This window comes from Homo sapiens, chromosome 1 (genome assembly GCF_000001405.40).
Source record: "Homo sapiens chromosome 1, GRCh38.p14 Primary Assembly".
Lineage (NCBI taxonomy): Eukaryota > Metazoa > Chordata > Mammalia > Primates > Hominidae > Homo > Homo sapiens.
Window position 1 is genome coordinate 245359314 of NC_000001.11, and position 12602 is coordinate 245371915.

The 12602-nt window shown below is 47.9% G+C and overlaps 1 protein-coding gene across 1 annotated transcript in view; it reads left to right on the plus strand.

Moving 5' to 3' along the window:
- Positions 1–12602, plus strand: part of KIF26B (kinesin family member 26B) — a 554448-nt gene that overhangs the window by 204329 nt on the left and 337517 nt on the right. Inside the window, exon 3 of the mRNA NM_018012.4 lies at positions 7521–8054. Within this exon, the coding sequence (NP_060482.2) occupies positions 7521–8054 (534 nt within the window). The remainder of the gene's footprint in view (positions 1–7520; positions 8055–12602) is intronic.

A 12602-nucleotide genomic window follows, 5' to 3' on the forward strand; every position in this document is an offset into this window, starting at 1 on the left:
CAGGCCAGGTTTCTCTTTCTACATCTTCTGGGAAAAGGTTGGCAGCTCCTAGGAGATACTGACCAGTTAGTTGATGGGTCTGTGATTCAAATCGAACATCTAGCAAAGCCCCTACGAAGCATTAGTCACTCTTGTGGGAGAAATGAGGAAGCGTTTTCAGTAGGCTGTTAGAGTGAGAAGCATCAGATTCTTAGTTCCATGGAAATGAACGCCTCTTGGAGTGTTTCATCTTTTAAAATAGAGAAGGAAGCTGAGAGTCATTCAGGCCATGCTCAGAGATGTCAGCTCAGGAACTCCAGGAACCCAGTATTATTTTGATTCCTTCCTTCCTTCCTTCATTCCTTCCCTCCTTCCCTCCTTTCCTTACTTCCCTCCCTCCCTTCCCTCCTTCCCTCCCTTCCTTCCTTCCTTCCGATATGGGTTTTCCTCATGTTGTCCAGGCTGGTCTTGAACTGCTGGCTCAACTGATCCACCTGCCTTGCTTTGGGCTCCCATAGTGCTGGGATTACAGGTGTAAGCCAATGGGCCCAGCCTATTGTGATTTCTTTCTTTCTTTCTTTCTTTTTTTTTTTTTTCTGAGACAGGGTCTCACTCTGTCACCCGGGCTGGAGTGCAGTGGTGAGATCTGAGCTCACTGCAACCTCTGCCTCCCAGGTTCAAGTGATTCTCGTGCCTCAGCCTCCTGAGTAGCTGGGATTACAGGCACCTACCACCATGCCCGGCTAATTTTTTTATTTTTAGGAGAGATGGGGTTTCTCCACGTTGGCCAGGATGGTCTCAAACTCTTGACCTCAAGTGATCCACCCACCTTGACCTCCCAAAGTTCTGGGATTACAGGTGTGAGCCACTGCACCCGGGCTGATTTAAGAGGGCTTTGACTTGACCAGATGTGGTGGTTAAGTGAATATGATATGTTCCCTTCTTTATCATCCTCTCTGTTCTTAATTGCAAAAGCGCCAAATCCTCCTAGATAAAAGACAGCCCTAAGATCATTGTCACCATCCTCCTTATCCTCATCCCAACATTATATGAAGTTCTAAATTTATACAAGTTACTGTATTAGATACTGAGACTAGTTACATTGATAATAATTACTACCATTTATTTAAGGGTGATAATAATTACTACCACTTATTCAGCATTTACCAAGGGCCAGGTCTGTGCTAAAAATGTTGCACATATTATCACATTTAATTCTTACTTAACTCAATAAAATAAGTATGATTATTGACTCCCATTTTTACATTAAGGAGACTGAAGCTTAGAGAGATTTGTGAAAAATGGCTCCTGGTCACTCAGCTACTAAGTAATAGAAGCAGGACTTGAACCTCCCATACCCTTAACCAAAAGTTTTCAAAATAGTCAACACTGTCCATACCATCTAGTTGGAAAAGATGAGACCTGGACATAAAAACTGGCCAGGCAGAGTGGCTCACGCCTGTAATCCCAGAACTTTGGGAGGCTGAGGTGGGCAGATCACCTGAGGTCAGGAGTTCAAGACCAGCCTGGCCAACATAGTAAAACTCCATCGGTACTAAAAATACAAAAAAATTAGCCGGGTGTGGCGGTGAACGCCTGTAGTCCCATCCACTTGGGAGGCTGAGGCAAGAGAATTGCTTGATGCAGTGAGCCAAAATCACACCACTGCACTCCAGCCTGGGCAAGAGAGAAAGACTCTGTCTCAAAAATAAATAAATAAAAGCATTTTCAGGGGTTGTGACGAGAAATGCCTCACCCATTCTTTTGAGTCATTTATGAACTGTTCTTAATCATGTTACGTTCTAATTAAACATCTCCCTTTTCTTTTGACGTGGAAAAGTCTTTACCTTCTGCAATACCTTTTTCACATGTTGCAGCAAGCAGCCCTATTAATCGCATTCCCACCTGCCTTTGGCCCTCCCAGCTGCCTCGCTTGCAGAACACGATCGTTCAAACGGAAGTCATTCATGGGATCGCCTCTCCCTGCAGTAATCCAGAGCAGAATCACTTAGGCTGAGCACAGCTGCTACATCCCAGGGTAATTTGGTTTCTTATGTAGAAAAACTGCGGTCTGACATTTAACATTTCCTCCTCTGGAGAGTGTTTTTTTCTTTTTTTGTCTCTGTGAACTTATTACCCAGCATGTCTTCACGCCTTTACATTCAGCGTGTTCACGTGCTCAGCGCGGTGTTCATGCCCGCACCATTGTGTGATCACCATCACTGGGTGAAGGGCTGTGGGCTTACAAAGCAGACTGGGAATCACAATGACAAACCTTGGGTTCAGACTCCGGGTAGGACAGAAGGAAGTTTCTACCTGAGTTTCATGCTAATCAAGTAGGGGTGCAGGCGATCAAGCAGGGGTGCAGGGGTGCACCTGCGATCTCAGGGCATGGCCTCGTTGCTGTCACTACTGCGGTTGTTATTTTGGCTGTCTCAGGCCTCACCTGGAGCAAACCCTAATTCTAACACACTCTGTGTTCTTTCAGATATCACTCCCCTCTTCTTTTCCCGTCTTTCCAGAATGCGCTGTGCTTGTGTCCTCTTTGCCAATCAGAGTGAGCCGCTTGGGGACTTTAGTCCATGCACATGTCGTGTCAGTGCAGATGATAGAACCTTGAGGGTGGTGACTTCCCCACCCGGAGCCATGGGTCGTGATTCCTTTGTCAGGCGTTCTGATTGGTTCCTGGCTTCCCTCTGCGGTGGTCGTATACCTTGTGTGTGGTTCTGGGAGCTCATGAACAACAGGAATCAAGGACACTGACCTTTCGCCATCAGCAAACTCCTGCTGTGTAGATTCAGGGGCGAAGAGAGTCTCGCGGTGAGAAATACTCTGGGTGAGAATGACCCTCTGTGTCTCCTTGGTCCTTCACACCCCATCAAGCACAGGCGGATCAGGAGATGTAAAGGTCAGGGAGCTGGTAAGCATCGACGAACAAAATCTTCCTGAGGAAGGGCCGGGTGCGGTGGCTCATGCCGGTAATCCCAGCACGTTGGGAGGCCAAGGTGGGCAGATCACGAGGTCAAGAGATCAAGACCATCCTGGCCAAGATGGTGAAACCCCGTCTCTACTAAAAAAAAAAAAAAAAAAAAAAAATTAGCCGGGTGTGGTTGTGGGCGCCTGTAGTCCCAGCTACTCAGGAGGCTGAGGCAGGAGAATCACTTGAACCAGGGAGGCGGAGGTTGCAGTGAGCCGAGATCGCACCACTGCGCTCCAGTCTTGCGACAGAGCAAGACTCCATCTCAAAAAAAAAAAAAAATTTTCCTGAGGAAGAAGTAGCATCCCCGAGCTGGCATGTTGGGAGTATCCTTCAATTTCAGATGCTTAAATTCTCCTCTCTGACAATGGCTAATTAAGATTTGGCCACATTATCTTTATTTCTCTTCTTTTGAAATTAGTGAGGGGACCTGACCTTGGGTGATCCGCCCACCTCAGCCTCCCAAAGTGCTGGGATTACAGGCGTGAGCCACGGTGCTCCACCACCTACGTGTCTTCTTGTATTCCTCTTCATGGGAGAAGTAGGGAAAAAATGATTTGGTATATATTCCTGAAAGATAAGAGTGTTCTAAGTATCGAATCCTTACACTTAAAACTTTAGGTTGAAAATGTTGCCCAAGTGCCAATAAAAATTGGGACCTTAAACATAGAAGTTCACCTTGTGGGTGGGCCCATCGCTGCTCCCGTGAGACTATCTCTGATCCAGGATGGATCAGAGCTAGGTGATACAGATGTCTCTGAAGCCCACGAGCTAGGCAGCACGACAGACTGGATGCTTCTTTTGGTGCCAGCTGATCCAGAGGACATGGCCCTAGTCCATCTCCTAGGGCCACTGCCATTCTTTTTGTGTCCATATCAGGAAAGCATGGTATAATTCGAGGCATCTATGGCTCTGAAGACTTCTTTTCTCTCTCTCTCTCTTTTTGAGACGGAGTCTCGCTCTGTTGTCCAGGCTGGAGTGCAGTGGTGTGATCTCAGCTCACTGCAACCTCTGCCTCCCAGGCTCAAGAGATTCTCTTGCCTCAGTCTCCTGAGTAGCTGGGATTAGAGGCATGCACCACCAACCCAGCTAATTTTTGCATTTTTAGTAGAAACAGGGTTTCACCATGTTGGGCAGGCTGGTCTCGGACTCCTGACCTCAGGTAATCCACCCACCTCAGCCTCCCAAAGTGCTGGGGTTACAGGCATGAGCCATCACGCCCGGCCTCCTTTTCTCTTTTCTTCCTATTTATGACTACCCTCCCTTAAAGCAGTATCTTCTTTATTTCAGCACTTACAGAAAGCTATGGCTGTTGACCATTCCTTTTTGAAGTTGTGAGTTGTACTAAAATATTTATGTATAATGTGTGGATAAGCACTTGATTTACTGAGGCCTTTTGATGATAAGAACTCACAAAGGGTTTTAGATCAAGGGTGGCTTCATTGAAGAAACACCTCTGACATCAGCCAGCAACCGCATTTTCATTAAAGACTCTCAATCTCAGCCTTTCCCTGGACGAGAGAGGAATGGGTTGTTGGCTACTTCCTGGCTGTCTGTGGCGGTCGTATTGATGTTGGGCCCAGCTGTGCTGAATGGCTCTGTTGGTGCTCGCTGGGCTTGCTTTGGCTGGCACAGCTGTGAGTGGAGGACAGCTGTGAGGAGCGGGAGTTGGTGCTGATTGATGTCTTGTGAACCCCGGCGGAGCACTGAGCTCCATGTATGTACGGATTGGTCCTGTGAGTCACTACAGACTGGGCTAGAGGTGGCAGCAGAGGCATGTGGCGTTAGGTAGTACAGGAACCAAGAAGGCCCTCTGGACTGTGAACTCTCAGAGAACGGGTGTTGTTCTCATGCACCCTCAGACCCCCAGCCTGGGGCAACACTGGGCGTGCAGGAAACCAAAGTCTCCGCTTGTTAAATGTCAGCAGCTGAGCCACAAATGGCAATAAGCTGAATAAAGAAGGTGGTGCTTCAAGGGAGAGGAGTAAAAACAAGGAAGAAAAGAGAAGAGGGGCCCTCAGAGCCAGGGATGGCTCATGCGGTTTCTGGAGAGTGGTTGTGTCCCTAGGTCAGAGTCAAATCCAGACTCCAAGGGCTAGCGTTGGAAATAAACTGTGATGTGCAGACATGACTTCTCACCCTCTCTCTCTCTCTTTTTTTTTTTTTTTTTTTTTTTGAGATGGAGTCTTGCTCTGTTGCCAGGCTGGAGTGCAGTGGTGTGATCTTGGCTCACCTCTGCCTCCCGTGTTCAAGTCATTCTCCTGCCTCAGCCTGCTGAATTGCTGGGACTACAGGCGCCCGCCACCACGCCCAGCTAATTTTTTTGTATTTTAGTACAGATGGTGTTTCACCATGTTGGCCAGGATGGTCTCGATCTCCTGACCTTGTGATCCGCCTGCCTCGGCCTCCCAAAGTGCTGGGATTACAGGCATGAGCCACCGCGCCCGGCTGAAATGACTTCTCTTAGAGCTGCCTCCTTTCTGTGGCACCTCTTCCATATGATTGGGTTAGTAAAAATATTCTAAATAAGCAATTGATTTGAGGCTTTTTGAAGCCAAACAGTTTGGTGCCTTGAGAGCATAAGCCATTGCTTATGTGAAAAAAAACAAGAAACTGTATCTTTGCATATACTGGGGCCCAAATAAATCCCGTTTGAATGAATGAACATTTCCTAGTGAAAACATGGGGCTGGAACCCTTCTGTGTCCGTGGGAAAATAGGAATCTATTGATGGATATGGCTCTTTGGCTTAAAGTGAAAAATCATGAACTGGTGGTCAAGAAATCTAGGCATAGTCCACGCTTTTAACCCTCTGGGACCTGTTTTTCTGTAAACTGAGGTGACGCTCTGTTCTGGAACAGCCCCTAAGGGGCCGTTTCAGGTCCTGCTACACGCTCTGAGTTGTGATTAGAGACTCTCTGGCCCTGTCATCGAGGAGGACGCCTCGAGACAGGCCTCATATGGTTTGCATCACTTCCTCAACCAGACTCGCTCAACCTGAACCTCCCATTGCTTCCCATCATTGTGTCTGGCTGTCTTGAGTGTCTCCCTCCTGAGCCACCCCTTGCTGCTGCAGTGTAAAGAGGCCTCTTGATTTATTAATCAATTAATCAGTGCGTGCTGAGGAGCTGTTCGGGGTAGTTAAACAGGGAAAACAAACAGCTGGAGCCTGCAATCAAGATGGATCCTAATTAAGAACCACCCCCCAAATGCTGATCTTCCTGCCCCGTCACTGCCTCACAACTCCCCCCCACCAGCCTACAGCTCAGCAAACCGCCTTCAGCTCTGATGGGGCTTCTACCCCATGCAAGCTGACAGTGAATTTCCGAAGGGCAGATTTTCTCCCTAATGTCCTAGAGGTAAATAAGCCTTGAGATGAGCGTTATCAATTACCTGCAACGACTGTTGAGCCCCCAAATGGCGTAGTAGCCCTGTTCATATAGGCACAGCCCACACTCTCCTATCCCAGTTCCCCCACGAACGGAGTCATGGAGCTGGAAGGTCCTTACGATAAGGAGAGGCCATGGCGCTGTGGACAGACGAGAGGTTCAGTGAGGTTCAGTGAGTTGTCTGAGGTCACTGCAGAACTCCAAGGTCACAAGTGGCAGAACTGGAAACTATCTGATACTCAACGAACACTCCTGGTGCTTGTTTCTCTGTGTAATCCTAAAGCAAAGTAAATAAGAGACATTGTTCTCACTGAATCCATTAAATGCTTCTGTTCCAGTGGTACTTAGCACACAATGCTGAGAAGGCCAAGATTTTCTTAGAACAGAACCTCTGTTCGAGGTTGCAAGTTGCACCTCCATCTGCAACTAACTTTCTGTGGTAACAGGGGGCCAAGGGACCTCAGTGCAGTGGTCCAGAATTGCACTCACCCCATATCATGCCTGGACAAATGTTTGTTCCTTCTGATTGAACACCTTGGGAGAGCCCAGGGATGGCTATAATTCTTCAGTGGATGTAAGAATAAGAATGTTCTTGCCAGGCATGGTGGCTCACGCCTGTAATCCCAGCACTTTGGGAGGCCGAGGCGGGTGGATCACGAGGTCAGGAGATTGAGACCATCCTGTCTAACACAGTGAAACCCCATCTCTACTAAAAGTACAAAAAATTAGCTGGGCGTGGTGGTGGGCGCCTGTAGTCCCAGCTATTTGGGAGGCTGAGGCAGGAGAATCACTTGAATCCAGAGGTGGAGGTTGCAGTGAGCCGAGATCGTGCCATTGCGCTCCAGCCTGGGTGACAAGGCGAGACTCCATCTCAAAAAAAAAAAGAAAAAAAAAAATATTCTTGACCAGCCTGGCGAAGAAGATACTTAGAAGTCTTATTTATTTTTTTAACTTCTTTTTGAAAGTTTTCACTATAAAATTCTTACATTTGTCTAATGTGTTTATCAAAAATAGAGGCTTTTCTGCCAGTGTGTCTTCTCATTTCTGTGGAATGCCAATCAAACTATCCAACTCTTTGAGTACGTCTCGGGTTTGACTGGTAAGCCAGGTATCTGACTTGCACTAGCAGCCTTGGAGTTATAGAATCTCCTCTCCCTCTGCTTCTGTGTTCTGTAGGACCCTGCTTTCTCGGCTGTGATTCACGACAAACTCCAGGTCCCCAACACCATCCGGAAGGCATGGAACGACCGGGACAACCGCTGTGACATTTGCGCCACTCACCTGAACCAGTTGAAGCAGGAGGCCATCCAGATGGTGCTGACGTTGGAGCAGGCAGCCGGCAGTGAGCACTACGACGCCTCGCCCTGCTCCCCGCCACCGCTCTCCAACATCCCCACCCTGGTGGGGTCCCGGCACGTGGGTGGGCTCCAGCAGCCCAGAGACTGGGCCTTTGTGCCCGCCCCCTGTGCCACCTCCAACTACACAGGCTTCGCCAACAAGCACGGCAGCAAACCCAGCAGCCTTGGGGTCAGCAATGGGGCGGAAAAGAAGAGCGGGTCCCCAACCCACCAGGCCAAGGTCAGCCTCCAGATGGCCACCAGTCCAAGCAATGGGAACATCCTCAATTCGGTGGCCATCCAGGCTCACCAGTACCTGGATGGCACCTGGTCCCTGTCGAGAACCAACGGGGTCACCCTGTACCCATACCAGGTAAGTAGCCTGTGTGAGCCAGGAAGAGCAGGGCTGGCTGGAGTCAAAGCGGAGAAGTAGGCAGCACTTCCTTCCGCTGCCTCCTCCCGGGAACCCTGTAACTCAGAGCCCAGTGTTTCCATGTGGCCCCCACAGAGTTCTCATCAAGGTGCCCCACCCGGGCCTGCCTGCTTTGAGAGGGTGTTGCTACATCTTCCAAACTTTCCACACCTGCCCTTTCTCTGCTCTTCAGTGTCTCCTTCCTGAGAGACCCTCTTTGTGTAAGAGGTCCTTGCTGGTCCAGGTGATGCCAGCGACTTCCCAGCCAGCAGATTTACCACATGGCAGAGCCATGAAGAGGTAGGCCACACAGATACTTGGACTGGGGTCCAAGCCCCGACTTGTCCACTTATTAGCAGCGTGACTTGGCACAAGGGGTTTGCCCTGTCTTAGGCTCAAGTCCCTCATTTATAAATGGATGTGAGTCACGAGAATTAAATAAGGTAGTGTTTGCATGACATGTAGGCCAACACCTGCCATATAGTAGGGGATCATTGTTGTGCCTGTTAACAGAGATTTTAGATATTAAGTGAGAGTGAGATGAGTGAGATGCTTTTGAACCAAAGGATATTGTGAGTCCCAGGAATCACGGTTTTAAAGCAGCCTGTGGAAGTGCTGGACATTGCTGAGAATAAAATATACGAAGGAACAGTGATCCGTGTTGGCACTCTGCCTTCCCTGTCTATACCTTCCAAAAGAGGTGTAGATGCCCTTCTTAACCTCTCCTCCCTTGACAGACCCAAATTCTTTTCTATTTGCAACTCACCTTAAGAACTACTGGGATTGGGCTGCCAAAACTGTTTCTTCCTTTTCAGTTATTTAAATTAGAACATGCCCCCAAGTTTCTCCATAGAAATAAAACACAGGTCTTAAATCTCCCAGGGAATCTTTAAAGATGTTCTAATTTTGCCCGGGTGAGTTTTCTGTTGGATGAGGACTGGATTTTTAATGTAAGTGGCCTCCATATCCCCTGCATCAGGGGTGTGGGAAGCAGCAGAGAGCATTGACCGTCACTGGAATGGAGAGGCGGCCACGGTCAAGGGTGTATTACTCAGAGAAGATAGTTGGTACATACAGCAAATGATCCTGGAGACCTCAGGCTTTTTCTCACTTGGGTCTGTCATGGTGGGTGTTTGGTAGGTGGCCTTCTGCTGCGATGTGAGGACTCAGACTAGAGACCTCAGGTTATTTCTCACTTGGGTCTGTCATAGGGGGTGTTTGGTAGGTGGCCTTCCGCTGTGATGTGAGGACTCAGACTTCTTCCACCAAATGCGTCACCATCTTCCAGGGGCCTCAAGAGTCCTTCACCAGACCTTCTGTAACCAGCCAGGAAATGAGGGAAGATAGAGTGTGTGGAGGATCTCACAGGAGGATTTGGGGCCCAGCTTTGCATGGAAGTGATGTATGTTGCTTACATCTATATTCCAGTGACAAGAATCCAGTCTTTGCTGGGCGTGGTGGCTCACACTTGTAATCCCAGCACTGTGGGAGGCCGAGGTGGGTGGATTGCTTGAGTACAGGAGTTGAAGACCAGCCTGGGCATCCTGGCGAAAACCCGTCTCTATTAAAAAAAATACAAAAATTAGCCAAGTATGGTGGCATGCGCCTGTAGTGTCAGCTACTTGGGAGGCTGAAACGGGAAGATCGCCTGAGCCCAGGAGGCGGAGGCTGCAGTGAGCCGAGATTGCACCACTGCACTCCAGCAGCACTGCACTCCAGCCTGGTGACAGAGCAAGACTCTGAATTGGGAAAAAAGAAGAGTGAGAGAGAGAGAGAGAGAGAGAGAGAGAGACAGACAGACAGACAGACAGTTTAGTCTCTTGATCTCACCTTCCCACTGGTGAAGCTGGGGAAGCCAATCTACCCGTGAGCCCAGGAGAAAAAGGAACAAGTCGAGTGAACACATAGCATAGTTTTGTTACGCCGGACAAGATACAGGGAAACGTGGAGTGAGTTAAATGTGGTTGATAAAATGCCGGGTGACTTTCTCTAGAGCGTTTGAGAGTGTTCATGTCTCTTGCTATCTTGAAAGAAAGTGGGAAACGTTGATCATTATCCTAAGATATTAGCATTCTTGGACGGTCGAAATTTTCACTTAACTGGGTGCTTTCTAATTTACAAAATCTAACATATGGATTATTTCCTTTAACCCCACAGTAGGCCTATGAGGTAGGTGGGGCAGGTGTTAGATCTTCCTTTTACAGTTAAGGAATATGATGCTTAGAGAAATGGACTGATTGTGGCCACACAGCCAGTGGCAGAACCAGCACCAGCTCTCCCCTTGCCCAGGGAATGGCTTTGCCTACCGCGGTTTCTTCCAACTTTCCTAGGCTACCCCAAAGTAAGCTGCCGACATCTTTTCCAGATATGGTTCCTTTTCAGACCTGGTGTCACAAAGAAAAGAACTCGTTTTACCTGCAGGGGCCTCACTGCCCCTAGACTTTTGGATAGAATCTTCTGGGATGTGTATATAAATATAATGAGGAACCAGTGGCGTCCTGTGCAGTGCTTCACATTCTAACCTTGGAAGTAACCTTCTAGGGCAGGAACAGAGAAGGGCTTCTTTGCATCATGGGATAATTTGCTTTTTTTTGTTTGCAGTTTTAAAATATACCATTTAGAAAATTATCAAAAGTAACATATTTGTTGTAAAATAAAATTTAAAATACATGAGGAAGTTTAAATGAGACTTTAAAAGTCGATGTCACCCGGATATAAACTATGTAACATTTGGGGATACTTCCTCCTAGCATTTCATACACTCGCAATTTGTAAAATTGTGACCAGGTTCAATTCTGTGACCTGCAGTTCACTTAATACATTGGGTACATTTCCCCATGCCACTATATGTTTCCCTAAAATATTATCTTTAGCAGTAACATATTTCATTATATGAATATTTTCCACGCTATGGAGATGTCCTCATTTATTAGGTTGGTGCAAAAGTCATTGCGGTTTTTGTCATTACTTTCAATGGCAAAAACCGCAATGACTTTTGCACCCACCTAATATATAACCAAACATCAATTAATTAGAATTTAGGTCTTTGCTACTATAAATACAATGCTCAGGTGAACATCCTTTTACCCAGGCCATAGTTTCAACACATGCCTGGCTTGTGTGAGCCACATACTTGTGTTACACAGACAACTCACATTTCACCTTCCAGGACTCCGAAGCTCTTGTCACACGTGGCAGGGGCCGGTTAGAAGACTCGGCGGCTGCGCCAGCGCTGATGAGCGAGGACAGAGGAGCATGAAACTGGTGCTTTCCTGTAAAATATTCAAAGTGAGGTGAAAGTTTGTGTGTAAGTCGGAAACACTGAAGATGCTGCTTAAACGGCCGATTAGGGATTATTTGTGCGTTTCTTTTATTTGTGCAATGATTCTGTTCTTCCTCTTACTTCCCAAACTCAGATGAAAGAGAATTTACTGTACAAGTATTTATTAATCTCTAACCAAGTACCAGGCACTGTGCTAGGTGGTGGGTGGGGCCGCAGCCTTGGGCTGGAAACCCTGGTTCCTGTCCTGAGGTCCTTGCAGTGGGACAGAAGGCAGGTGAGTGCAGAGGTGAAGAGATGCCGCGGTGCTTTGGGGGCATGCAGACAGGCTCCTAATCCCGCCCGATGTGGCAAAGCCAGATACAACCAAGATTCACACAAGCCACCAACTTGTGGTCATCCTGGGTATGTTCTGTTGCTTCTTTCCAACTCCAGAACAGACCAATTCATGCATTTCCCCTCAGTAATGAAGGGACCAGAGGAAATCTCTCTGGGATAAAGAGATTTGGTGCCTGGCTATGAATCTGCGTCCCCTGTGTTGTGACTGTGTCGTCCTGATGCCCTGGGGTGGGGGCTCTGGGTCTGGCCAGACTGAGTGTCTCCTGTTGCGGACATCTCCCTGCAGTACATATTGTACAGTTCGCAGTCTAGCCAGCTCGTCAGAGACGGTTGACTGCTCTGAAAGCTGACCTCATTTTTCCTGCTTACCCATACTCCCACTTCCCTCCCCACAGAGCAGATGGCCTCTGGATCAGTGCCAGAGCCATTCCCCGGGCAGAGAAGCATCTAGACCTTGTCACTACCAAGGGTGCGGCTCCACACCCGCGGGACCCGAGCCTCTAGAAATGAGGGAGAAGACGACTCTGCCTTTCTGCAATTTAGACGTCGCAAGGATGAAAACGATGCGGACAGGCTTTCCAGCAGTGAGCCTGGGGAAATCTGCGTCACATGGGCGACAGAAGGTCCCTCGAATCCCTCAATCCCCGTGGCCCGCACCACTGTGTAATAATCTCCAAAGGTTGCAGTAGGAAGATTCTTGATTCTCGTTTGCTATATCCTTCACATTTCTAAAGTACCTCCAGAAAGACCAGGAACCTGTAAGCATCACAGATAAATAGGAATCGATCCAGAGAGATTTTAAAAAGAGTAATTTAGGAAGTACTAAGATGACATCAAAAATGTTGAACAAACCACAAAGATAATTCTCATTAAATATCTTAGAAAATTGA